Here is a 24,359-nt window from a genome sequence, read left to right on the forward strand (position 1 = left end):
TCCCTGATACCTTCCTACATTGCCATGTTCTCCTTTCCCCATAGGGTCCTGGGCCCCCTGAGCACTCACGCGCTGGAGGTGTTTAGAAGGGGCGCCTCTCATACCTGAGCTTGAGCATCTGTCCCGGGGATTCGGGTGGACCGCCTGCGGGTGACGATGACTGATGGCTTGTGCTCAGCAGGGTTCTGTTCAGGACCCTTCCCGTCCTCATCAAGACCTCCAGCCTGGGCTGCCTCAGTTGGGTCCACAGTTCGCACAGGCACAGACACTGGGATGATGAGGGGTACCATCCCACTGTCTTCTCGTGCTCGCTTGGTGGCTAAGGAAGGCTCAGAAAACTCCACCCCACACTTGGTAGTTGAGGCCAATACACTTTTCCGCTTCTCTTCAGAACCACTGCCATCCTGGACAAGATGGGAACAGAAGTGCAATTTAAAAGGTAAGTCATAGCCAGGCGCAGTGGCTCACGCCTATAATTCCTGCACTTTGGGAGGACAAGATTAAAGGATCACTTGACGCCACAAGTTCAAGACCAGCCTGGGCAACATAGTGACACCTCGTCTCTACAGAAAATAAAACAAAATTAGCTGGGCATGGTGGCAAACTCCTGTGGTCCCAGCTACTTGGGAGGCAGAGGTGGGAGGATTGCCTGAGCCCAGGAAGTTAAGGCTGCGGTGAGCCGAGATCGAACCACTGCACTCCAGCCTGGGTGACAGAGTGAGACCCTGTCTCAATAATAAATAAATAAACAAATAAAAGATAAATTCTGATTTGATCTAGGACCCTCATTCCCATTTAGTCACGGGACTCAAACACCCACAGTGGCTCCCAGTGGTCTCACAACTTGACCTTTTTCCCTGACTACCTTTTCTCCGACCACTTTTTTTTTTTTTTTTTTTTTTTGGAGACAGGGGGTCTCACTCTGTCACCCAGGTTGTAGTGCAGTGGCACAATCTTGGTTCACTGCAACCTCTGCCTCCCAGGTTCTAATGATTCTCCCACCTCAGCCTCCCCAGTAGCTGGGATTACAGGCGTGCAGTACCACACCTGGCTAATTTTTGTGTTTTTTGGTAGAGATAGGGTTTTGCTGTGTTGGCCAGGCTGGTCTCCCAACTCCTGACCTCAAGTGATCCACCCACCTTGGCCTCCCAAAGTGCTGGGATTATAGGCATAAGCCACTGCGCCTAGCCTCACACTGTTCTCTTCTATAGAAAGTGCTTCTGGCTGGACACGGTGGCTCACGCCTGTAATCCTAGCACTTTGGGGGGCTGAGGCAGGCAGATCACGAGGTCAGGAGTTCGAGACCAGCCTGACCAACATGGTAAAACCCTGTCTCTACTAAAAATACAAAAATTAGCCAGGCATGGTGGCAGGCGCCTGTAATCCCAGCTACTCGGGGAGGCTGAGGCTGGAGAATCACTTGAACCCGGTGATCTGTATCTATCTGTATCTGAAATAGTATCTAATTATTCAAAAAATATTTCTGCAAAAGAAAGTAAGCAAGAACCCTGTGGCAAGGTGAAGGGTGGTCTTTGTACTGTTTTCCCACAGGCAGCTGGCTAGGGCAAAGTCTGGCTTTCCCTAGGCAAGAAGCAAATCCTGCAGCCGCCCACCTATCAGCCTGATGCCCTCTGCCAGGTGTGGCTCCACTGCATGCCACTCTCACCTTTGCATTCTGCAGTGAGGCCAGCTCCACAGCCTTCTGGGCCAGGGTCAGCAAATTGGCCTCCTGGGATGCCCGGCGCCTCCGTCGCGTGCTCTGGATCACTCCGCCCCGTAGCACCTGCCCACAGTCCCCTGTGCTCACTGCCCTCATGCCCTCCTCGCTGCCCATGGCAGGAGCCTCTCGCTCCCGGCCATTGGGTGCTAGTCTCTCCCCATCAGGCAGTAGCTGCGACTCCCTCAGCTCCAGCGGGAATCCCAGAGCTTCAGGATGGGGCTGCCCCAGGGAGCCAGGTGGCGGCTGCTGCAGGGGCCAGTGATGTAGGAACAGGTTGCCAGTGGCCTCCTGCCCAGGCTGGGTGCCAGCCCCATCCAGGGCGCTGGGAGGCAGGATACCCTCCTTAGAGAGGCGGCGGGAGCGGCGGGGGAAGGGGATCTGGACCTGAGGTAGCGCTGGCTGCGGGGCTGAGTCCTGCAGAAGGGCCTTGCGCAGTTCTGGGTTCATATCTGGGTTGGGGGGGAAGGGGTAGGGTGCCATGCTGTGGTGAGCCAGGTGGGACTGTCCCAGTGGCCCAGCTGGCTGCAGGCCAAAGTCCTGGGGTTGCTGCGAGGGTTGCTGCGGCATGGAATAGAAGTTCTCAAAGAGCGGCATCTGGGGTAGGGCTGCCTGCTGCTGCTGCTGCTGCTGCTGTGGTTGCTGCTGCTGCTGCTGCTTCTGTGGAGGGAAGGCAGCCACCGGGTTTGGGGGCGGTGGGCCCTGCCGGAAGACCTGCCGGTTCACCTGGTGGCCGAATGCCAGCTGGAAGGGTTGCAGGGGCAGTGACTGGTTTGGGGGTTTCTTGGCTGCGTGGAAAGAATTCAGGGGTGCCTGGGGCCGCCCTACCTCCAGCTGCACCTTCTGTGGCATCATTGGTCGCACATAGCGGTCCAGCTGTGGGCCCCCCGCTTTCTCCCGCTTCAGTGCCTCAGGGTGGTTATAGTAAGTCGGGACTCCCACTCCAGGATGCGGGCTCCCCTTGGTTGCACTGTAGAGGGACAGACTGTGGCAGTTCCATGTTGAATGGGGTGGAGGCTGGCCTGGCTGCTGCTGCCAGCTGCTGTCACTGACACCCCCACCTCCTCCACGCTCCGGGCCCCGCCCTGGAGCCATCACAGAGTTGGGCCACTTTACTGAGGCCACCTGCTGGGACAGCATGGCTGCTGAGGTCCGCTCAGGCCCATATACCACAGAGTTCAGCAGGGCCAGGCTGCTAGGAGGGGGCAGTTCCACAGGCTGAGAGGTGGAGACTGCCCCTCCTGGACCCTCGTGCCCGAGGTACTGCTCCTCCTTCACTCTGATGGACTGCTGGGGGGGCTGCAGGGGAGGGGGCTGCTCCTTGGGAGCTGGTTCCTGGCCCCCGAAGAGGCAACGCTTCCGCTTGTTCTGAGCCTTGGGCTGGGCCTGGAGGTTCATGATGTGGCCAACTGAGCCCTGGCGGTGAGATCCCCTTCAACAGTCGCCCATCCCCTGGGGAAACGTCCTGCTGGAAGCCGGGCTCTAGTCCAGGAGCCAGGGAGGGCAGAGCAGGGGCAGAGGAAGACGCTGGACAGTGAGGTCGGACACTGGGAGAAAGAACTGCTGGCTCTTCCTTTCTCTTCCAGAGAGGCTCTGGGGCTCAGCTACTCTTCCCAGTTCATGATGCTCCACAGGGTTCTGGCACCTGCAGAGGGAAGAGCAGTGACAGTGTCAGCCACAGCCTCCCAGGATGCCCCGAACATCAGCACAAGTGTAAGAAAAGGGGCTCCAAGGGCCTTCGGTCCCACCACCTCATATCACAGGGACAGGCCCCAAGTCACAGAGCAGCATTGGTGAGGCAGGAGCCAGGACTTTTGGGGAGCTGCCAGGAGGGCAGGAGAATCAGCTGCATCTCCCAGGGCACTGTGACTCTCTTGTCCCACCACCTCACCCTCCTGGTTCCGCTCCAGGACTGCCTGCATCTGTCTGTGTTATTTGTGCACTGCATAGGCACATTCTAAGGCACAGGTGGAGCTGACATCCAGCCCAAGCCCCTCCAGCCCAGCTGAGAAAGAGGCAGCAAAAGCCACACTGGCTCCCCTCTCCTCTTACCCAGGCCCTAGCCCCCTGGGCAGCCAGGCCTAGTCCTCCTGGCACACATCTGTCTATGCAGGAGCCTCCCACCAGACCCAGAAGGATCTTTGTCCAGCCAGTGCCTCCTCTGACACTCCAAGCACATCTCAGGCTCGGGAAGTGGAGAGGACAGGGTCATTCCCGACGTGGCCACTCCTCCTGTGCAGCCCCAGAGTCAGGAGCTCCAACAGACCCTTGTAGAGTCAGGGGCCCAGGGTCAGGCTCACCAAGGCCTGCAGGTAAGGCCCCAGAAGGGTGTGTGCAGTCCTAGCCCCACCCCTGGGAAGAGCTGCTGGGTGGGGCTGTGGCTGCCAGAGTCTTTCCCAAACTAGCACAGAACCTGTTTTGCAACCCTGGCAGGGTGGAGGCAGGATCCAGGCCAAGAGCTGGTCAGCAGCTGACCCCGCCCCTGCCTGACCCCTGCCCCTTCCACTGCCGAAGAGCCCCTGGCAAATAGTGTAACTCAGATCGTAGAGGGTGCAGATTGCTAGAACTCAGTTCCAGAAGGTTTCTCCACGATAATGTCATGACTTAAGTACACAGTTTTTCCATTTTTGTTTCGTAACTTGATTTTTTAAAGCAGTCGCTACAGAACAGAATCTAGACCTGTATTTTATAGCATAGCTGCTTGCATGTATTTTTCAAGACTTTTCTTTCCCTCAGAGTGATGTTTGGGTTTTGTTTTTTTCCTGGGAAGTTGGTGGGGGTGGGAGCTACATAGCCCACCTCTTTCCCCAGTAAGATTCTGGTCCCTAGGAAGAGGGGAAAACAGCTCGGGCGGCTCTGAAGAGGAAATCTCAGGCCCTAGATGCTACAGGTCATTGTTAGCAACCCCAGCCGCTCCCAGGAAACCAGCCAGCAGCAGCGGAGGGCAGGGCTGGGCGGGCACAGGGTCCCGACTATACCCAGTTTGCAGTTCGGCCCACCCCCAGCACCAGGAATGCCCCTCCCAGGCTATCGCTCCTCTGCAGGCTTCCGCAGCTCCCCAGCCCCTGTGCTCCTGGAGCCTGCCTGCCTCCTGCCCGCCTGCGTGACTCACTGAGGGCCCCCTCCCTATCTTTCACTTTCACCCAGCACCCAGAAGGGGAGTAATTTCCTCCTCCATTTCCTTCCTCAGCTCCTGGGCCTTGAAGAGAGTAAGAGACCCTCCTCGTGTGCAGCCTTTGTCTTTTCATATATGAAGCTGGAGGGAGGGAGAGGCACAGAGACTAGGAGGGCATCCAAGTCACCCTCACCCCCAGCAAGAGGGGAGTGGGGGGATTTGGACAAGAAGTGCAGAGCTGCGGGCTGCAGAAACAACCTTTCTCTTGCTTTTAAACCCGCATTCCCTGACAGCCAACCTAATTCAGAGCAGGAACCCAAAAGCTAAACCCTGCACTGAAAATCACCCTGGGCACCCCCATGAAGCTGCAGGGTGGGACTGTCTGGCTCCGCCTCTCCGAGGGAACATCAAGCCCACAGAACTAGAAGTGCGTGTCTGCAGAAGCAAGACAGAGAAAGGAAGAATGTGCGCCAGCCTGGCAAGCCCACGTGCCTCCAGGGGGCTGCGAGCCCCTCCAGTGGGCGCTCACACACACTCACGCCTCCCTTCATCACAGCCCTGTCTCCTTGTGAGCCACAGCACGGGCTTGAGGCCTGGAGCAAGGGAAGGTCCACGTGGCGGGTGGGCCTGGATGCACGTGCCAGTGTGAACCTGATGGAGGGGTGCGCCCCCTCCATGGGGATGGCTGCTCAGAAGGAGATGAGGCGGGGCCTGCGGCTCCAGGACAAGCCTGCTTCTGCCCAGGGCAGGGGCCAGAGGCCAGATGCAGGTCTTACAGGGGCTTACCCACAGCTGTATGGTCAGCCCTGGAGGAGCTGAGCTCAGCTGGGAAGCCTCCCACTCCCACCCTGCACATCAAGGAGGGCCATCATTCAGGATACCACAGCAGCCTCTGAAGCTCAGACAGGGACTTGCTTTGAAGAAATCAGGGGGCCTGGTTTGGGGAAGGCTGAATCACCCCAGAAACTTCTTGCTGCAGAGGCCTCCCTGTCACCCTCACCGAAGAGCTAAGGGTGCCAGGGGCACAGACAGTCAGGCCTGGGACCCTCAGAGAAGAAAGGTCATCGGCTGGGGGTGGGGAGAAGAGTGGAAGATACTGGCAGCCTGGGAGGAAGGGTGAAGAGGCACACCTAGGCAGCAGGGCACTAAGTAGTCATAGGAGTAATGATGATGGTGATGGTGCACCCGTGCCAGGCAGATCCTACGTGCTTTATATCCTTTAAATTCCCACCATGGCCTTATAAGGCAGGAGTTGCGATTTTAACCTCTATTTACAGGTTAGCTAGATGAGGCTCAGAGGAGCTAAGTAAGTTGCCTACGGTCACACAGTCATTATGTTGCAGAGCCAAGACTGGAACCCAGATCTGTCTGACTCTAAGATCAAGCTCTTCTTCCTTATCCCCAAGATATGCCACTAAGACCCCAGACCCCTCTTCATACACCTCCCTTCCACAGCACACTCTACACCACCTCCAAGCAAGGATTTTCTAGACACAGATATCAGATATCCCTTCTCATTGGCACTGGGAAGCCCCTTACCCCTGCCTGAACCTTTGGCAGGTACTCTCTCCCATTCTCCCCAAATACAGCTGAGACCCTTGGCCTTCCAGGAAGGGAGAGCAGGAAAAGGTCTCACCACAGAGGGGTCAGCAGATGTGTGAGGTCTACCTGCAGGGAGGCCTGAAACACTTCCTCCTGCACTGGCCACTCTAGCCCCCGATCTAGGCCTGGACTCTCCAGCTCCTGCAACCCCACCCCGGGCTCAGTTGCTGCTGGTGGTGCCTCCAGCTCTCAGACCCCATGGGCTTCTCCCAGCCTGCAACTCGGGGTCAGGACTGCGCCACTTCCTCTCATTTCTTCTACCCCACCCCCGCTGCCCTGTCCCTCAGATGGAAATCAAACTGCCCTTCCTCACAGTGAGGAAGAGGAAGGACGACACCTCCAAAGGCTGCTGACCTGTGGGCCTAGTCCCTGAGATTGCAGGGAAGAGGATGTCATGAGGAACTCCTGCCAGCAGCTCAGCCCTGGGACCAGCTGCAGGGCCTCTGACAACGGATGCAGGAACACTGCAAAAGGAAACCCACAGTCACCACGGGGCCCCAGACACGGCAACCCGCCCTGTCAGTCTGTTTGACTGTCACGCTCTATTCACTTTTCCCTTCCTCCAGGCTCCTCTCTGCAGCAACCAATCCTTGACCAGACCCACAGGTACCCCTGGGCCAAAGACAAGGCAACAATCAAGACCAAGGCCTGGGACCTAGCAGGCTTTCAGGAAGTTCTATGGTGAGTAGCACTTACTCTCTATAGAAGAAAGCAGTGTGCACCAGGAAAAAAAAATAAAAAACAGTGCTGACCCCACATATATGTTTTGCAGACACATGAGGGGAAGGTGCTGGAAAGGCCTTTGGGTGTTCAATGCTGATGGTGACACCAGCTCTCCTGGGATGTCAGCTCAAACACACACTGCTCCCCAAATGCCATCGGCAGCCCAGCTGCACACCCAACACTGGCTGGCTGACCCCAGGAGAAGCCAGAGAGCCATCACCACAGGGCAAGGGGCCAGACTGTGGCCACTGTGGGACCAGGGCCACTCACCAGTCTGCTTGGGGCAATCAGTGTGTCCATTTGAGAAAAAAGACTATTGTGAGTCAAGGCCACACAGACCAGGGAGGAGATGCCAAGTTGATCTCAGCAGCTGCGGGGGCTCAGCTCTGACCTGGGGATAACAGCTGACCCGAGGGCCCCCTGCCCTTGGAGGCTAATGCTCCAAGCTCCCACTCTTATAGCCTGGGCAGGCCCCACAAGCTCAGCACTAGGAAGAGGGGAGTCAAAGATCATGGGTCTGTCACCCAAGGGCAAGACAGGCCCAAACTGAGTCTCCAGGCGAGTCAGTTCTCTGAGCTGTCTTAGGACAAAGTCTAAACTCCCTGCCCTGTCCACAAGTCCCTGCAGACCTTGGCTCCTGCCACCTCTCTCGACAGTCTGTGCTTGAGCCAGGGCCTCCAACGTGTTCTTCTCGCTTTGCTTCCAGGTCTTTGGCCAGGCTGTACCCCTTCCTAGGACACCTTCTCACTCTTTTCATCAGGCCAGGTCCTATTAATCCTTCAGGTTGCAGACACTGCTTCCACTGGGAAACCTGACCCCAGAGCTGAGACAGGAGCTGAACTACAAGCCCCTATAACACACTGTATATGGCACACTAAATCCCAGGTGCCTGCTTTGTCATCCCCAGCAGACAGCAGGCTCCACGGGGCAGGGTTGGCAGACCGTTGTACCTTGGCACTTGGTTTGTATCTGCCTGTCAGGATGCTCATTCAAGACTGCGCCCAAGGTGAGTCAGAGCCACACCTGGGCAGAGGCGACACAGCCCGCATTCCTGCCCTGGGCTCCTGCCTGCTCCTGACTTCTGGGCTCTCTGGTGCACATGAGAGCTCCTCAAGATGCTGGGATGAAGTGAAAAGGCCCAGCCCGGGATCCCACCCTACCCCTGGCCCCAGGCCCTCTACACCTATGTGGAACACAAGTCCTTCTCCCTGCTGGCCCACAAGCCACCTGCCCTTGACTGTCACCTGCTGCCCCACAACACATGCAGGCCAACTGGAAAAGTGCCAGCTCCACTGTTGCCCTCCACCCCACTTTTCTAGGCTTCTACCCCCACCTAGACAGTGGCCAGGGACACAAGCCTGTGGGTCTGTTTACCTCATGCCCTGACATGGCTGGACCTCAAGACACTAAGGTCTGGCCAGGATGCCAGGGAGCCATAACAAGTCCCTGCCACCCCCACCAGAGGAGCACAGCATGGCCCAGCTGGCCCCCTCATCTGGGCTCACATCCTGAAAAGCTCTCTCAGACATTCTGGGGTCTCCAGCTATAGCCAGACTCGGTAAATGGCCTGGAACTGCCATCTTGGGCCAGCTAGAGTTGCCCAGGCCCTAGACAAACCTTCCCTCTGGACCCCATCTGCAATGCTACATGCACCCCCACCAACTGGGACTTCACACAAAGGCCAGTGTACCCCATTTCTGCAAGCCACTGGACACATAAGCACTATTCTCAAGGGGTTTGCAAACAAGGAGGCTCTGATACAACAGACGTGGATCTGACTCCCACAAGTGTCATTTTCCCTGGGAGCATGAGAGAGCAGGCAAGAGGCCCTATGGTCGGCCCATTCCCAATCCAGACAGTCCCTGGACCATCACTTCTCTGGACTGAACTTCAGCTCTGAAAAGCAGAGCCCAGGCCAACAGGCCAGAGAGTCACGAGTCCCAGGGGTCTCAGCCATCAAGCTGCTCAGGATCAGAAGCTTGGCCAGGGTTCAAGCTGCCTGAAGTTTGAGCTTACACAGTAAAAATGCCAACCACTGAGATGCTTTTAAAGGGATGTGTAAGAGAGGAATCCTTTCAGGGCTTATGAGGCACTCTCAGGGCTCCGTCCAGTCTTCTACCTTGATTGCCTCCCTCCCCCATAGCCCCACAAATGCCCACAGGGTGTCCATGGGAAGCTGGGATAGCCAGGTTTGTTTTGCCAGGGGTGGGGGAGGTGGGGGCTGCTAATGCAGAGAGAAAACAGTCATGAGCAAAGCCAGAAAAGGATTAAGCCTCCAGGCTCAGCTTTTGCCTGCACTGAAGGGACTGCCTGCCTTCCTCCTAGGCAAAGGCCACGAAGAGTCACAGGCAGCCCTGGAAAACCCATTCCAACAGGACCCAGGGATCCCAGCAGGAGTAGGGTAGAAGCAGGCAGGTTTAGGCTTCCTCCGCAGGAGACTCAGCAGATGTTCCTGAGGCCCTCTGGTGAGGGCCTCCTGGGACCGCTGGGGTCCTTGCTCTGTCTCCTCAAAACAGTCTCTATGCCCTATACAGCTCCCACCACTGGAGGCTGCTGCACTACCTCCCTTCCCTTCTGGAAAGGCCTGGCTCCCCAGCAGGGCTAGAGCAGGGCTCTCTGAAGTCTGTGCCTGAGCACCCCAGTGCCAGACTCTGCCCTGGGCCAAAGATACAGATGAGGCCACTCACAGGGGCCTCCCTTGCCATTGCCTTGCCCTGCCCACTCCCCCACCACACACCCTCCCTGCTGCAGCTCTGCAGGTGGGCCTGCTGACCCTTCATCTGCTCCACAAGCATTTGCTGAGCACTTGCTGCAAGCCAGGCTCTGGGAGACACAGGAGACACAGAGCTTCCAGGCCGGTGGGGAGACAGAGAAACAGAAACACACGCTAATTATAATGCAAGGAAGCCCGTGCAGGGACTAGGGGTAAGTGACCCCTGGGGACAGGCAACCCCTGGGGGAGCTCCCTGACTTTGAGCCTCCCCTAGAGCTGTTCCTTCTGCCTGGAAGCCCTGCCTCCACTCTCACAATCTGCTTTCCCTCAAGGCCTACCTCCTCCAGCTGGCCCTCCAGCACATATTGTTGTCACCCATTCTGAATCTTCATGCTCTTATACCACTATCCAATAATGCTTCTTCAATTCCCTTCTGTTCCTGCACAGAGCCTGGGAGCAGCAGGGCCTGGAGACAACATGATCCAAGACGGAGGGCAGTGGACTGTTTGTCAGGTAACCAACCAGATGTCTGGTCCAGGAGCCGCCACTCACTGGTTCCTGCCTTTGAGGAGCTTAAGAGCCTGGGGTGGGAAGAGACCTGTATCCAGGGACCAAAGAAACACCTTTGTAAAAAGCAAGTGCCACCAGGACTAGCTGCATGCCGAATATGCGAGAGTACTGCTTATCTGCATAACCACTTATTTCCAACTGAGAAACGAGAAAGGCTGGCTCTGAAAGTAACTTGTCCCAGTTCACAGAACTCATGACTGAGGAGTCAAGATTCAAATCTAAGCCTCCTGACCCCAAACCAGGTCTCTCTCTGTCACTGTGTCAATACCCGTCTGTGTGGATGTCAAGCAGTGGTTCTTAAACCTCAGTGTGTGCAATAAAACCCACCCTGAGAGACTAGTTCATGGGTCTGGTGGGGTGGGGGTCGGGGGTGGGAAGAGCACGATGGGGAATCTAGGATGCTTCACAAGCAGCCAGGTGGTGCCCATGCACTGGAGCAGGGGAAGGGCTAAAGGGCCACAGCCTGGCATAGTGAAGTTTCCCAGGACCCACCACTCCCCATTCCCCAAAGGCACTACCTGTCAGAGTGCTATGGCCTGCCCAGGAGACATGAGGGGTCGCACAGAGCCCTGAGGGGACTCTGCTCTCAGCCAGTCCTAGGGTTAACTGTGGCTCTTACCACGCCTGGGACCCAATTGAGTGCCCATGTTTACTGAGCACTTACTATTTGCCAGGCACTGTGCTAAGTCCATTGCAGGCAGCATTTTGTTTAACCCTTACTGTTCTGTGTCTCGTTATTTACAGACCAGGAATGGTATACTCAAAAATATCTATTTAACATAAAGGAAGACAGTAATAGAAGAACAAAAGAATAAAAAAGACATAAGACATACAGAAATCAAATCACAAAATGGCAGCATAAATCCTACCTTATCCATAATTACTTTAAATGTGAATGGATTAAATATCTAAAAGGCAGAGGTTGGCAGAATGGACTTTTAAAAAAATATGCAATTATATGGCAGAACAGACTTCTTTAAAAAAGATGCAATTTCATTAAAAAAAGAAACACCCTTTACATTCAGAGATATAAATAGGTTGAAAGTAATTAGCAGGGCATGGTGACACACGCCTGCAGTCCCAGCTACTCGGGAGGCTGAGGTAGGAGAATTGCTTGAACCCAAGAGGTGGAGGTTGCAGTGAGCCCAGATTGCGCCACTGCACTCCAGCCTGGGCAACACAGTGAGACTCTGTACCAAAAAAGAAAAAAGAAAGCAAGGGATGGAAAAAGAGATACCATTGTAAACAGTCACCAAAAGACAGCTAGAATGGCTATACTAATATCAGACAAAATATGTGGTGGCAGGCACCTGTAATCGCAGCTACTCAGGAGGCTGAGACAGGAGAACTATTTGAACCTGAGAGGTGGAGGCTGCAGTGAGCCAAGATCGCGCCACTGCACTCCAGCCTGGGCAACAGAGCTAGACTCCGTCTCAAAAAAAAAAAAAAAAAAATCAGACAAAATAGACTTTAAGACAAAAACTGTTATTATAGACAAAGAATATTTTATAATGAACAAAGTGTCCGTCCCTCAGGAGGCTATACCAGTTATAGACATGCATGTACCTAACAACAGAGCCCCAAAATACATGAAGCAAAAACTGTCAGAATTGAAAGGAAAAAATGAACAACTCAAATAACAGTAGGAAACTTCAATACTCTACTTTTTTTCATGTTATTTTATACATACACATGAGAGAGAGAAAACACTCTACTTTCAACAACGAACAGTACGACTAAATAGAAGATCGACAAGGAAATAGAAGATTTAGACACTATAAACCAATTAGACCTGGAAGACCTATATAGAACACTCCACCTAACAACAGCAAAATACACACAAATACACACTCTTCTCAAGAGCACACAGATACTGCAGCTGTAGGTGAACTGTTTTTTTGTTTCTTTTTAAAAAAGAGCAGGCCCGGCACAGTGGTGCCTGTAATCCCAAAATTTTGGGAGGCCAAGGCCAGGAGGATCACTTGAGCCCAGGAGCTCAAGACCAGCCTGGGCAACAAAACGAGACCGTGTCTCTACAAAAAAAAAAAAAAAAAAAATTAGCTGCGTGTGGTGGCCACTATAGTCCCAGCTACTCAGGAAGCTGAGGCAGGAGGATTGCTCGGGCCCAGGAGGTTGAGGCTGCAGTAAGCCGTGTTCATGCCTCTGCAATCCAGCGTGCATGAAAGACCAAGATCCAGTCTCAGAAAAAATAAAAAATACATACTTTTTTATATATTATATAATATAATATATATATAAAATATATATATGTATATTTATAGCACAAGGAACACTCTCTACAATAGATCATCATTAGGCCATAAGACAAGTCTCAACAAATTTAAAGGGACTGAAATCACTCAAAGTATGTTCTCCAATCAAAACGGGTTGAAATTGGAAATCAATAACCGAAGGAAATTTGGGAAACTTACAGGAAACGAAGGTTAAAAGTAACTTGCCAAGTTCTCTCAGCTCAGAAAGGCCCCTCCCTCCTCAGCCCATGTTCTCCACACCTTCGGTGTCACAGTCCTAGGCAGCCGCAGAGCTCAGACTTGCAAAGGCCTGGGTATCCCCTCTCCCAGACACACATTGAACCTGACCCCAAGCTTGATCCCGACATCAAAACAACTAGGGGATGGAGAGGCCTTTGGGATTGCAACAGCTTGTCAGGCAGCCCTGCTTTTCCCTAGGAAAAATGGCCACAGGCAAATATTTCCACTTCCATGGCCAATCTACAAAATATCCAAAAGACAGATCCTTCCCAAAAGAAGGGAGCTAACGAGTACTTCGCTGGGCTGGGTCCTCTACAAATTCGAATCCATGCTTATAAACCTCCTATGGAGGAGTCTTATGTCCTCATTCTCCAGAGGGAAGTTGAGGCTCTGCTGTTACAGAGCCAGAAGCAAGATTCAAATCTTTATCTTGTGTCTTCCAAGTCCTTGCTCTTTCCACCACCCTCCCAGAAAAATCTGAAATCTACACCGGTGGGCCTCAGAAGGAATGCTACACTTGAGAACTTCACAAAGCCAGCTCCGGAGCTGCTGCTCTTCCCTGGGGGCATTTCCAAGCACAGCATGGTCTATTAACACTCCTCTTAAGAAATTATCCTAGCCCCAGTCAGCCAGAAACAGTTTCCCCTCCAGACTGGGGGTATCTGTAAAAGCCCCTGGAAGCCAAGAGAGCCCAAAGGGTGTTGAGGTATGGGGGACTGCAGAGGTGAGCTGGAGGCTGCAGGCTCAGCACCATCTCACTCTGGAATAAAAGCCTCCATGCCACATGGAGAAAGGTGGCTTGGGCCTCTCTTCAGAGCCAACTGGCAAAGCAGGGCCCAGCTGGGAAAGCTGAACAGATTCCAAATATCAAGGGATGTCAATGTTTACCTACTCCAATTCCTCGTTCCACAGAGCAGTCCAGAGAAGGAAATAAACTCGTCCGAGGACACACAGCCAGGAGCAAAATCAAGGACTCCAATAACAATGCTTCATGCCTCCATTTAGGCAGGCCCCACCACTTGGCAAGACACTGGGCAAAGCATGGAGCCAAGGTTTATCCCAACATCACACAAACAAGGCTTCATCAATACCTCCAAAATTTCCATTGAAGGTGCTACTATGTGCCAGGCATGGTGCTAAGCACACTACACACATTATCCTGTGTAATCATCTCACAGAAAGGTAGATATTATCATTATTATTTTTGTAGAGATGGAGTCTCACTTTGTTGCTCAGGCTGGTCTTGAACTCCTTGCCTCAAGGGATCCTCCCAACTCAACCTCCCAAAGTGCTGAGATTACAGGCGTGAGCCACCACACCAGGCCATCAAGGTAGGTATTATTACTCCTCCTTTCTAAACAAGAAATCTGAGAAGACCTTAGGTCAAATCACTTGCCTAAGGTCACAGCAGTATAGAGGCAAAGCCAGGACTGGCACCTAGGCCTGCCTGTTCTGCAAACTTCCTCCCCCAAGAGTTTCAGACTTGGAGGTCACACCAGGCTGCCTGGGATAGACAGCAGCAGCCTCTGGGTTGCTCACGTCTGCTCCCTGGAGAGCAGCTTCAGCCCCTGAAAACCACCATGATGTTCTGAGATGTGGCTGGTCGGGTAAAGTGGGTGGGAGAGGCCGGGCAGGTGAGTGGCTTTGAAGGTGAAGAGGCTACAGGTGATTACCTCCAGTGGGCCAACCTGTGGAGGGCTCGGCATCTTTGCCTAAGAGGAAGTCACACCCCTTCCACACCCTCCAACCCCACAACTGAGGTTAGCCAACAGCTCTTTAAAAATAAAGCCAGGCCGGATGCAGCGGCTCCCGTTTGTAATCCCAACACTTTGGGAGGCCAAAGCAGCTGGACCACCTGAGGTCAGGAGTTTATGAGACCAGCCTGACCAACATGGAGAAACTCTGTCTCTACTAAAAATACAAAATTATCCAGGCATCGTGGCGCACACCTGTAATCCCAGCTACTCGGGAGGCTGAGGCAGAAGAATCGCTTGAACCCAGGAGGCAGAGGTTGCAGTGAGCCAAGATCGTACCACTGCACTCCAGCCTGGGCGACAAGAGCAAAACTCTGTCTCAAAAAAATAAATAAAGTCTTGGCTCTCCCCTGCTTGTCAGATAACTCAAGTCCCCATGGAGTCTAGGCTCCTGTCCCTTCTCCTGGCACCCTGAGCTCTGGGTCAAATCAGGTCTCTGCTTGGGTTCCCCCACTCAGGACACTGAGCATTAGCCCCCAGCCACAGCCACCCATATCTCCACATGGTGCTCTCAGAGTGTTGCTTCTCCCAATAACTTAACTTCCTAAATAAAATATATTCATCGCACATCCCGAGTAGAGGAGACAGAGGTGCCCACTCACTCCAAAGATCATTTGTCCAAACCTCAATTTCATGGCTCATAGAACCAAGACCTCAAAGGTAAAATGACCTGCCTAAGGACACATGGCTGACTACCTGAGCAGAGCTATAGTGACGGCCTCCCAGGTAGATGTTCTCACACTTAGCACCCCTAGACCTGGCATTGCCAGGTCCTTGACATTCGTCTGGGGGAGGTAAAGCAGGGGGTGTAGCATGTGTGTCAAGCCTACCAAGTCTTCATCAACCCAGGCTCTCCTGACTGGTCAGGGCTGGAAAGGGCCAAGACCCACCTGGTGCTTGGGGGTTGGATGGGTCGGTGTCTGGCAGTGTAGTGTGAGAGTAAAGAACGGGGGCAATATGGCTCCCTAGTACATGCTAGCGACCAGGAAGCAAAAAAATTTGCCACCAGCAGAGGGAGGGGAGTCTCAGTGTGGCTGCCTGGGGCCTCCTAGAAGGGCTGCAAACTGGGCACAGACAGACGCCCATTTGACTCCAGAGCCATCACATCAGCCTCACGCCCTTCCTCAGGCCCTGGTCAAGATGCAAGACTTTTGCCAAAGGCTCACACATTCTTTGCATTTCTCCAGTCTCTGAGCAGCTGCTGCAGGGCCTTTTCTCCTATGTTGATTTATTCTTTATTGTTCCTGAAATACACCCAGAGGCCTTTGGCACAGCATGCGGGCACAGCAGAGCATCCAGCCCAAGCCCCAAGTACACACCAACCAGACTCTCTGGGACCTGGGCCAAGCCAGCTGGAATGATGGGCCCCAGGTCAGACCCAGCAGCCAAGAAGGGAGACCAAAGATTCCACCTAGCCCCAGCCTTTGATTCCCCAGAGCTGTTCTCAGTACCTCAGAGGCTGGGATACCTTTAAGGGGGAGGACACACTTGGGAGGTCCCCAGGAAGCCCACACTAAGCTGAAACCAAGCCTTTCCCCTCTTCCTGTGCATGTGCCTGGCCGAGCAGTCCCCAGGCCCACAGCTGAGTCCTCCACAGAAGGGCCTCAGGGCTCAAGGCTGGGCTCCTGGCTGCCCTGTGAAGCATCTGGAGAGGGAGGCAGCAGGGAGGTCTTCCCCACCCTTCCCAGCCCAAGATATCTCCCCTACCAGCCAGTCTAATGGTGCCTGAATTCCTACTATCAGCACTTCATACCAAGGATCAAAGCATTGTTCCTTGTGCACATGAAAATAGCCGGAGGAAGTGTGGGAGCTGCAGGGTAAAAGTAGTCAGGGGCAATGTGTGCTGGCTTCTCCAATCACCAGCCTCTGTGAGCCTGGGGTTCCCTATTGGTGAATGGGCACAACAGTTTCATCTCAGTTATTGTGGGATTCAATGAGGTAATACATAGATGAAGCGCCGCCTGGCACAGGGTACGCACTCAATAAATGTGTTTCCTGTCTCCCTTGCTGGGTAGGGGTGGCTCAGACATCGTTATCAGTCTTTAACACCTTGGAGGAAATGAATAGTCCAACTCTTCCAGTTCCACAGCTGGCTGAGAGCAAGGCTGGCCAGGCAAGGGCGGGACAGGGAGACTCAAAGTCCTAGCAACAGTGTGGGGCTCTGCAGGCACGCAGAGCTTCCGGCCTACAGACCCAGGAGAGAGAGGTCTGGCCAGAAAGTCCAGAGGGCACCCAGCACAGGCCTCCTTTAAACTCAGCTATGCCAGCAGGGCCTGCCTACAGGGATACAGGGGGATGAGGGTATTTCCCAGATAATACCGGCAGAGCTTCCAGGCCCAAAGGATGAGCCGCCACCTCCTGGATTCACTCTAAGAAGAGCAATAAAGGGGAAGGTGCGATGGCCAGAGGGAGGCTGAGGAAGGGCTGCAGGAAGTAGAAGGGACTCCAGTGTGGCAGAGACACAGGGCCTACAGAAAGCAAGCAAGCCTGCCCAGAGGCCACCACAGTAAATGTCCCACAAGTGGAAGTGCCCGCCTGGTTATTTTTGGCGCCTCTTCTGCCCAAAGCCAGTAAGGAAAGGCAGCTGCTAGCAACACAGAAGGGCTGTTTACACTCAAGTGTGCAAGCACTGCAACAGGGACAGAAAGCACAACTAGCAGCCACCATGCAGATGGGCCTCTGCCCCGTTTTTCCCCTCCCAACTGTCCCCCGTTGTGTGCTGCACAGCTGACACAGTGTGGGTACTTCTGCTTTCACTCAGATCCAGCCTCCCAACCACAGGACTCACTCACGCACATGCAAACAAATAAATAACTATGGAGCCAGCTGAGGACTGAGCCACACCCAGGAGCCAAGACAGTATTCCTTTGGATTCTTCCTGCGCTCAAGCTGCCCTCCCAGCTTCCAAACTGGGAGAAGCAGCCACCAGGCGCAGGACACAGGAGCAGTCCCTTTCCACCCTCCCAAAGTGAAAGTGGAGACAGTCTTTACAACCTCAAGCATCTCACCACCTCTCGGCTTCCCCATTTGAAAATGAAGGATTCGGACTAGATGTCCCAAATGGTTTCCCAGCTCTGGAATTAGGACTATGACCCAAGACCAGCTGGGGCCTCAGACAGAGGAAGGCCAGGAGGGGAGGAGGATCTGTGCCAGGAACTGCCAGCTCACATGCCGTCTCGGGGTTGCAAGTTATCACTTAAGCCCATTTCTGAGCTATGGGGGCCTTACCTACTAAAGAAATGGCAAGTTCTGGCAACGGTAAGTTGGATAGGGTCCTCTGTCTGCCCAACTACTGGGAAAAGCAGGGAATCAAAATCTCTCACCATTTTCCTTCTTGTCTGGATTCCAATTCCCCAGAGAAGCTGAGCGGCTTTAGAGAGAAGCCCCTTCTGGCCAGCTACAAGCCTACTGTAGCTCACTCTCTCCATCCAAGCTTTAACTGGGATAAACCTTGCCCTGTGCTTTCCCCACTCTCCTTCCTTCCCAGGACTCCTGAAGGAAGAAGCACTGCCTGGAAAAAATGCTCTCACCACGAAAGCTCCCTGCGGCTGGGAGAAAGGCAGAGGGAACAGGGAGCACCTTCCCTGGCTGGCCACAGCACGAGGCTGTGTTCCAGGAAGAGCAACAGCAAGGGCGGCTGCCAGGGAAGCCTCAGCCCCAAGCCCCGGCTCTTCCCCACCAGCTCTTCCCCACCAGCCGAGAATGACAGCCAGCAACTGCAGCCCTCAGGGAGACCCCCAGCCCCACCCCAGCACAACTCCGGCTCTCCTCTGACAGTGGCAACTTTCTTCTTATATAATTCTTGGTGTTTCCTTCACCGTTGCACATAATTTTAATGGGTAAAAGAGCCAAAGCAGTCTTTAAGGAAAAACTCCCACCCTTGGCTCTACCCAAACCTCCTGCGAGGTCACACTGCGAGGCTTCAGGTGAAGCAAACAGGGGACTTTTTTTCCTTGGCTGAGAAAGCAGCCTTCCTCCTGCCCACCCACGTGAGCAGCTCAGCCTGGGGCCTGGGCGGGTAGGTTCCTGAGAGCACAATCTGATCTCTGGGAAGCTGGGCCCTCAACCCTCGGCTGCAGGGCCACAGTCCCTCTCAAAGGCACACAGACACTGGGTCTGGGCCACATGTCTAGGGTGGAGTGGATCAAGCTGTTGTTCCCAGGGCACAATAAACTTCATTTATACAAGCTTCAGTGGCCTGGTAGATTGCTTTCCTACTATAAACAGGACACCCTTCATTTTCTCTTCCTTGATAGGAGTCAAAGGCAAACACACTGGATCCAGTGGGAACTGGTGAAATGAGAGTTGCCATCTGTTGAATACCTAGTATGTGTCATTCACTCTGCATGCATAATCCTGTCTAATCTTCACAGCCTATGAAGTACTAGTATCATCCACATTTTACAGGTGAGGCAACTGAGGCCCAAGAAGTTAAGCAATGCCCAAAGCCACACAGCAAGAGGAGATGCTGGGGTATGAACTCAGGTCTGCCCAGGCCTCATTCCCACGCACCCATCAGACTTCCTTCAGTCACTGCCCAAGTGACTGTCCACACACCATCCAGGAACGGCGTTCTGAGTGTGGAAGCAGAAGTCGGTGTGGATGAATTTTGCTGGAGGCCTCCAGAATCTGAACTGATGCTCCAACTATTATTGCTCCCAAGTGTGTGACTGCGAGAGCCCATGTCAGTGTGTGTGTGTGTGTGTGTGTGTGTGTGCGCGCGCGCGTGCGCGCTGAGGTGGAGGGAGGGTGATCTGGATTCCAAATTGCAGTTTCCAACATTAAAGTTATGCTGTAATGCTTCTGATTCATAAAATGAGCTCATAGTCTCACAGTATCCTGAATGTTGCTTCGAATGCAAATGCAGGTCCCTTAGTAAGAATTGGGGATTTCAGCCTACTCCACCCTAGCCCCGGCCCAGCATGCAATTTTTCAGTCCCAGAGTCAAGAGTTCTCATGTGCAGAAAGAAGCAATTCCTCCAACAGAATGCGGCCACTGGCTCTGCTTCCTGCCACCTGCAGTGAGTCAGGGAAGAATGGAGCCCCAGGCTGCTTCTGTACTGATGCATGCACGCCTGCACACACACAGGAAGGGTGCCAATCTGGGCTGACCAAAGGAAGTGCCCAGGCTAGCAGATCCCTAGGGAGATGGCTCCACAACTCTTTCACCCTGAGGTCCCCTTAGGGTCAGGATGACCGACACATGCACTCCACAAGGCCAGCTACAGGGCAGTGCCAGGAAACTGGGTTCACCAGCCCCAGAATCACCCACGGTGGACTGACATTTTTGAAACCAGTGATGCAATCTGAGGAGGTTCCAGGAGCAGGGACTCACTGGGCCCAACACATGACAAGTACACATTTTTTTTGATGGAGATCTTTCACTAATTTGTTCAACTAACATGCACTAAGACCAGGTGAGGTAGTTCAAGACTGTAATCCCAGCACTTTGGGAGGCCAAAGTGGGTGGATTTCTTGAGCCCAAGAGTTCAAGACCAGCCTGGGCAACATGGCAAAACCCCATATCTACAAAAATAGAAAAATTAGCCAGGTGTGGTGATGTGTACCCGTAGTCCCAGCTACTTGGGAGGCTGAGGTGGGAAGATTGCTTGAGCCCAGGAGGCTGAGATTGCAGCGACCTGAGATCGCACTACTGCACTCCAGCCTGGGCGACAGAGAAAGACCCTATCTCTAACAACCAAAAAAAAAAAAAAACACTAAACACTTACTAGATGCCAAGCAGCATTGTGGGACCCATTCAAGCAGAGGCTACCAAATACTGAAATGTGCTTTAAGCATTTTACGTATACTAACTCACAGAATCCTCACAGCAACTCTATGAAGGAGATACTGTATAGGAACTCTAACTCAGAGTCTTTGTTTTTGACCACCACACTGCAGTATGTACACAAATAACTACATAAGGTGGAAATGAGTGTTCAGAAGATGGCTACAGCCTTCAGAAGTGGCATTTGAAACAGGATTAGAAGGATAAGCTGGAAACCCCCAGCCACTTTGTGGCTGTCCCCACCCCAGCATGAGCAAAGTTTTCTTCTGGGAGACCCAAATGCAAGAGAGGGGCTCTCAACCTGAAGATTCCTGGACTGGGCCCATTCCCCTTCCCCTCTTCTGTCAGAGGTCTTGGCACCCCTGGGCAGCCTTTCTCTGGGGACTCTAGACACAGGAGGCCCTCAGCTGAATCCACAACTGCATGTTGTCTTTTCTTGTGTTCCACTTATTGAAAGCAGCAGCACACAGGGTCAAACACTGGGGCTATTTTAAAATCCCACATGTAAAAATTAAATTCTCATCCCCATGGGCACTCCAGGGCGCTCTTTCCTGGGGCGGGGTGAGGAGCTGACAGAGTCACGGGAGTGGGGGTTCTGCTGGCACTTGGAGAGGCCACACTGGCAGTGGCTAGGCTGTTCCAGAGCAAGCTGGCAAGCTGTATGACCTGGGGGCATCCTCCAGGTTCTTCACCCCCTTGTCCCCCCGGGAGCTACACGGACCAGAGTAACCAGCCAGAGGCCAATCCAATTAGAGTGGAGACTGGACCAGGGCCATGCAACGAGATGGTTTATCACAGTAATTGAATGTTTACGCTCCTATTATTCACTGTCCAGAGCAGTTGGAAAAGGAAGACCTACGAATTCTCAACCCGGGAAGGCTTCTCCTTTTCCCTGGGTTCTGAAGCCACTTAACACCCAAGGAAAGGGTGCATTTCTCTGATCCAAAAGGGGCGTGTGCCACACCTTTGGTGGGAGGCTCTAGAGCAAGACAGGTGGTTTCTCCCCTCAGCTGAGGCCCCCTAGGGAGGACTGGCTTCTCGGTCCACCTTCACTAGGCCTTCAGTCTCAACCCTGAAGCTACAGGAACAAGAAGATCCCAGATCACCTGGCCAGGCTCCCCCTGCTGGAGCAAGCCAGACATCCCCTCCCTCCCCCAGCCGCAGCTGCCAACAGGGATCCCCTGCATACGCGGGCCACCGGGGCCTCCGTGGCCAGCCTCTCTTCCCCCATCCCACCGCCCCCCGCGCGAGGCTCCACAGGCTGGCACACAGGTCCCACGTGGGATGGTGGAAACAGGAAGCAGCCACCGTAGTTGTGACCAACAAAGTTTTAAATGGGGCATATAACTTCCCCTTTCATCTTCTCACCAGCTCTCGCTGGAGGCTGGGCTGGGACGGACACCCGGCCTCCACTTTCTGTGGCAGGTACCTCCTCCATGTCGGCCCGCCTTGGGGCTGAAGCCTGAAGGCCCCAGGGCACACGAAGTTCCCCTTCCTCCCCTAGACCTTTACCCAGAGGCCTTGGGGGCAACCTGACACACATGGTCCTGCATGTGCGACTTGGGAGGCGACGTGACCAGCTCCACCAAGCCGGCCATATGCAGGGCCCGGCCGAATCCCGGGTTTCGGCGCTGCCGCCAGGCACCAGGGAACACAGCTCCCCGCGAGGCACCGCGCGGGCTGGGAGGGCTGCGGCGGCGCGGGCGTGCGGGGGCGCGCGGGAGGATGACAGGTCTGAGGTGCGCCCGCCCGCGCGAAGCGCTCCAGCCTAGGCCTCTGCTGACTGCATTTGCCCCAGTTCCCCAACGCCCCTGCACCTCTGTCCCCCAAACTCCTGGCGTGGACGCCGCGTCCAGGCCCACTTTCCCGTGCACGCTGGCAGGGGAAGGGGCTCCCGCGCCAAGTTCCCTCAGCTGGCTAGCCCCTCGCCGCGCCTTCCGGGCCTGGGCTCCGTCACGTCAGCCGGTCCCCACGGACACCACGTTTCTCTCCAGCGGAGGAGGAGCAGCCGGATTCCCGAGCCGCCGCGGGCCGCCGGGTGGGGAGGGCTTTCCTGGCGGGGCCGCGCCCGGGTGGGCGGGGGCCGCGCGCAAGCTGCGTAGCTGCACAAACACCGCGGGGCTGCGCTGCACACGCAGCTGCGGGCCGAGGGCGCGGACCGCGGGGGAGGGGGCGGCGGGCTGCAGGCGGCCCCCGCACGGCCACACGCGCCCGCTCCACCGCCGCCCAGGCCGCAGAAGTTCGAGCGCAGCGGCCCCCGCGGCCCCCTCTCCGGGCCGCGCCTGCAGAGCTGCAACCCGCCGTGCGAGCAGCCACAGCTCGCGCGCCGCCTGGGGTCCCCTCGCCGGCCCCGCCGCGTGCAGGCCTCGGCCGCCGGCCAGGCAGCCCCACTTACCCAGCTCTTGCCCGGGCTCCGGGCTCCGGGCTCGGCTGTCCCCCTTCCGCCGCGGGTCGCCGCCTTCGGTCGCCTCCGGGACTCCAGCCGCCTGCACGCACTCCCGATTTTAAAAACAAACAGGCGCCGTCGCCTCCCCGCGGCGCTCGCGGGGCTTCCGCCAGCCCGCGCCTCCCGAGGCTGAGAAGTTTGCTGGCAGGGCCCGGGCGGGACGCGCGGGCTGTCACCCCCCGCTTGCGATGCAGGAGCCTCGGCGCGCCCCGCACCCGTGCCGTCCGCCTCGCGAGCGCTCTGCCTCCCTCCGTGTCACCCCCAGTCCTGCGATGCAGTGTCAGGATTGCACGGCTCTGACTCATCGGTTGAGCTCACAGCTTGAAAAAAAAAAAAAGAGAGAGGGCGAGAGGCAACAGCGGAGGAGGAGGACTCTGGCGTGCTACAAAGGATTGCACAACTCGAGGCTGGGAGCGCGGAGCGCCCAGCGGCCGGCCGGCGCGCGCGGCACCGCGGCGAGCAGGAACCAGCTCTACCACTTCATCAGCACAACTGTCTCGGGGCGGCCTCAGCCAGCAGGCCCGGCGCCGCCCACTTCCTGCGACCAAATAAGGCCGGGGAAGGCGTCCTTAAACCTCAGGCGGCGGCCGGGGCTGGGGATTTCCAGCAGACCTCACCTCCACTCACGAGTCGGTCGCCGTCCCCATCCCCCGCCCAGGCTGGCGCCCCCGATGGCTTTGCTGGCGGGCCACGCTGCTAGTTCCTTTCACACCAAGGTCAGGAGGAGACGGTGACGAAATGTTTGGAAACCCATTGAGCCTGCCAGGAAAGTGTGTGTGTGATGCTGGGGAAGGCACAAGTCGCTTTCTTCCACAAAGAAACTCTCTCTGGTTTTGGATACGGTAAATCATGCACAATCCTCTCCATGGCATTTTATTAACAGACTCTCCGAGTTTCACTTTCTGGCTCAAAAGCGTCCTGGTGCGTGTAAAGGTTATTGAGAAACTGGCCTCAGTCCCTAGAAAGGACCCACCATCTCCATCGCTTAGGTGAGGAAAATCTCCTGGATTTAAATCTAGCAACTCAGGCCAGAGTTGAGCGGCTTTTCACTCCATACTCACATTTTCCCCTGTCTTCCCTAAATATCCCCCTGATCAATTCTCAGGTCCAGGCCTTGATGCCTCCTTGCCTGACTGGTGGGAAGATGGAAAACATTTTTGCAGCTCAAGAGGTTGGTTCTGGCCCCCACATTCAATGGGGCTCTAGGGCCAGGGGAAAGTTCAGGGGAGTGTGTCCTATTCTTCCTTCCAAGTTTTTTGGTGGTGGTGCAGTGGTGGTGGTGGCGGCGGCGGTGGTGGCGGTGGCTGTTTTTCAAGGAGATGGGTCACAAGGAGATTTTCCTTTGAAAGAAAAACCACCGAAGAATACCATGTGTCCTGGCAGCCACTTTTCAAAACACTGTGGCCAGACCTGAGAACCAGGTGCATCCCTCACTTTCT

At 54.9% G+C, this 24,359-nt stretch overlaps 1 protein-coding gene, 1 long non-coding RNA gene and 1 other non-coding gene across 10 annotated transcripts in view, besides 19 other annotated features; 2 read left to right on the forward strand and 1 right to left on the reverse strand.

Moving 5' to 3' along the window:
• Positions 1–24,359, reverse strand: part of MIDEAS (mitotic deacetylase associated SANT domain protein) — a 75,164-nt gene that overhangs the window by 21,772 nt on the left and 29,033 nt on the right. For 5 of the 8 annotated variants that reach the window (XM_005268206.1, XM_047431913.1, XM_047431914.1 and 2 more), the window contains 2 exons: positions 1,667–3,362; positions 105–404 (listed from right to left, as the gene is read on the reverse strand). In XM_005268206.1, the coding sequence (XP_005268263.1) occupies positions 105–404; positions 1,667–3,115 (1,749 nt within the window). In that variant the 5' untranslated portion in view covers positions 3,116–3,362. Of the gene's footprint in view, positions 1–104; positions 405–1,666; positions 3,363–22,869; positions 23,411–24,359 lie in introns of those variants that run through there. The other 3 variants (NM_001367710.1, NM_194278.4, XM_047431915.1) reach the window with 1 other exon arrangement.
• Positions 373–10,552, forward strand: LOC124903345 (uncharacterized). The gene is made up of 3 exons (XR_007064264.1): positions 373–439; positions 7,001–7,115; positions 10,318–10,552. It is a non-coding gene; the product is annotated as an uncharacterized LOC124903345 (long non-coding RNA).
• Positions 2,363–2,878: an enhancer, noted in NCBI's record as "H3K27ac-H3K4me1 hESC enhancer chr14:74205959-74206474 (GRCh37/hg19 assembly coordinates)". NCBI's record gives its function as "activates a minimal SCP1, AML or CMV promoter by ChIP-STARR-seq in naive H9 embryonic stem cells {active_cell/tissue: H9 hESC(naive)}" and the evidence as "EXISTENCE:reporter gene assay evidence [ECO:0000049][PMID:30033119]".
• Positions 3,393–3,908: an enhancer, noted in NCBI's record as "H3K27ac-H3K4me1 hESC enhancer chr14:74206989-74207504 (GRCh37/hg19 assembly coordinates)". NCBI's record gives its function as "activates a minimal SCP1, AML or CMV promoter by ChIP-STARR-seq in naive H9 embryonic stem cells {active_cell/tissue: H9 hESC(naive)}" and the evidence as "EXISTENCE:reporter gene assay evidence [ECO:0000049][PMID:30033119]".
• Positions 3,909–4,422: an enhancer, noted in NCBI's record as "H3K27ac-H3K4me1 hESC enhancer chr14:74207505-74208018 (GRCh37/hg19 assembly coordinates)". NCBI's record gives its function as "activates a minimal SCP1, AML or CMV promoter by ChIP-STARR-seq in naive H9 embryonic stem cells {active_cell/tissue: H9 hESC(naive)}" and the evidence as "EXISTENCE:reporter gene assay evidence [ECO:0000049][PMID:30033119]".
• Positions 5,416–5,585: an enhancer, noted in NCBI's record as "experimental_36600 CRE fragment used in MPRA reporter constructs". NCBI's record gives its function as "activates a minimal promoter by MPRAs in K562 erythroleukemia cells, with activity observed for both the introgressed and non-introgressed 14:74209097 or rs11624425 variant alleles {active_cell/tissue: K562}" and the evidence as "EXISTENCE:reporter gene assay evidence [ECO:0000049][PMID:34662402]".
• Positions 5,490–5,511: a transcriptional cis regulatory region, noted in NCBI's record as "22 bp fragment centered on rs11624425 that was deleted by CRISPR/Cas9 targeting". NCBI's record gives its function as "positively regulates MIDEAS (also known as ELMSAN1) and DNAL1 gene expression in K562 erythroleukemia cells {active_cell/tissue: K562}" and the evidence as "EXISTENCE:deletion mutation evidence [ECO:0005510][PMID:34662402]".
• Position 5,501: a transcriptional cis regulatory region, noted in NCBI's record as "Neanderthal adaptively introgressed variant 14:74209097 (GRCh37/hg19 assembly coordinates) or rs11624425 in the experimental_36600 CRE". NCBI's record gives its function as "modulates activity of the experimental_36600 enhancer by MPRAs in K562 erythroleukemia cells, with lower activity for the introgressed G variant {active_cell/tissue: K562}" and the evidence as "EXISTENCE:reporter gene assay evidence [ECO:0000049][PMID:34662402]".
• Positions 6,713–7,007: a silencer, noted in NCBI's record as "tiled region #4460; HepG2 Repressive non-DNase unmatched - State 19:H4K20". NCBI's record gives its function as "represses a minimal TATA promoter and a strong SV40 promoter by Sharpr-MPRA in HepG2 cells {active_cell/tissue: HepG2}" and the evidence as "EXISTENCE:reporter gene assay evidence [ECO:0000049][PMID:27701403]".
• Positions 9,569–10,083: an enhancer, noted in NCBI's record as "H3K27ac-H3K4me1 hESC enhancer chr14:74213165-74213679 (GRCh37/hg19 assembly coordinates)". NCBI's record gives its function as "activates a minimal SCP1, AML or CMV promoter by ChIP-STARR-seq in naive H9 embryonic stem cells {active_cell/tissue: H9 hESC(naive)}" and the evidence as "EXISTENCE:reporter gene assay evidence [ECO:0000049][PMID:30033119]".
• Positions 10,084–10,597: an enhancer, noted in NCBI's record as "H3K27ac-H3K4me1 hESC enhancer chr14:74213680-74214193 (GRCh37/hg19 assembly coordinates)". NCBI's record gives its function as "activates a minimal SCP1, AML or CMV promoter by ChIP-STARR-seq in naive H9 embryonic stem cells {active_cell/tissue: H9 hESC(naive)}" and the evidence as "EXISTENCE:reporter gene assay evidence [ECO:0000049][PMID:30033119]".
• Positions 17,474–17,723: an enhancer, noted in NCBI's record as "active region_8709". NCBI's record gives its function as "activates an Ori minimal core promoter by ATAC-STARR-seq in GM12878 lymphoblastoid cells {active_cell/tissue: GM12878}" and the evidence as "EXISTENCE:reporter gene assay evidence [ECO:0000049][PMID:35858748]".
• Positions 18,024–18,093: an enhancer, noted in NCBI's record as "active region_8710". NCBI's record gives its function as "activates an Ori minimal core promoter by ATAC-STARR-seq in GM12878 lymphoblastoid cells {active_cell/tissue: GM12878}" and the evidence as "EXISTENCE:reporter gene assay evidence [ECO:0000049][PMID:35858748]".
• Positions 18,124–18,203: an enhancer, noted in NCBI's record as "active region_8711". NCBI's record gives its function as "activates an Ori minimal core promoter by ATAC-STARR-seq in GM12878 lymphoblastoid cells {active_cell/tissue: GM12878}" and the evidence as "EXISTENCE:reporter gene assay evidence [ECO:0000049][PMID:35858748]".
• Positions 19,473–19,767: a silencer, noted in NCBI's record as "tiled region #1827; K562 Repressive non-DNase unmatched - State 2:TssF". NCBI's record gives its function as "represses a minimal TATA promoter and a strong SV40 promoter by Sharpr-MPRA in K562 cells {active_cell/tissue: K562}" and the evidence as "EXISTENCE:reporter gene assay evidence [ECO:0000049][PMID:27701403]".
• Positions 19,607–19,686: an enhancer, noted in NCBI's record as "active region_8712". NCBI's record gives its function as "activates an Ori minimal core promoter by ATAC-STARR-seq in GM12878 lymphoblastoid cells {active_cell/tissue: GM12878}" and the evidence as "EXISTENCE:reporter gene assay evidence [ECO:0000049][PMID:35858748]".
• Positions 21,378–21,427: an enhancer, noted in NCBI's record as "active region_8713". NCBI's record gives its function as "activates an Ori minimal core promoter by ATAC-STARR-seq in GM12878 lymphoblastoid cells {active_cell/tissue: GM12878}" and the evidence as "EXISTENCE:reporter gene assay evidence [ECO:0000049][PMID:35858748]".
• Positions 21,854–21,926, forward strand: MIR4505 (microRNA 4505). Its single transcript, NR_039727.1, has one exon. It is a non-coding gene; the product is annotated as a microRNA 4505 (primary transcript).
• Positions 22,078–22,187: a silencer, noted in NCBI's record as "silent region_5916". NCBI's record gives its function as "represses an Ori minimal core promoter by ATAC-STARR-seq in GM12878 lymphoblastoid cells {active_cell/tissue: GM12878}" and the evidence as "EXISTENCE:reporter gene assay evidence [ECO:0000049][PMID:35858748]".
• Positions 22,548–22,697: a silencer, noted in NCBI's record as "silent region_5917". NCBI's record gives its function as "represses an Ori minimal core promoter by ATAC-STARR-seq in GM12878 lymphoblastoid cells {active_cell/tissue: GM12878}" and the evidence as "EXISTENCE:reporter gene assay evidence [ECO:0000049][PMID:35858748]".
• Positions 22,828–23,067: a silencer, noted in NCBI's record as "silent region_5918". NCBI's record gives its function as "represses an Ori minimal core promoter by ATAC-STARR-seq in GM12878 lymphoblastoid cells {active_cell/tissue: GM12878}" and the evidence as "EXISTENCE:reporter gene assay evidence [ECO:0000049][PMID:35858748]".
• Positions 23,488–23,817: an enhancer, noted in NCBI's record as "active region_8714". NCBI's record gives its function as "activates an Ori minimal core promoter by ATAC-STARR-seq in GM12878 lymphoblastoid cells {active_cell/tissue: GM12878}" and the evidence as "EXISTENCE:reporter gene assay evidence [ECO:0000049][PMID:35858748]".

This window comes from Homo sapiens, chromosome 14, assembly GCF_000001405.40.
Source record: "Homo sapiens chromosome 14, GRCh38.p14 Primary Assembly".
NCBI classification, from domain to species: domain Eukaryota; kingdom Metazoa; phylum Chordata; class Mammalia; order Primates; family Hominidae; genus Homo; species Homo sapiens.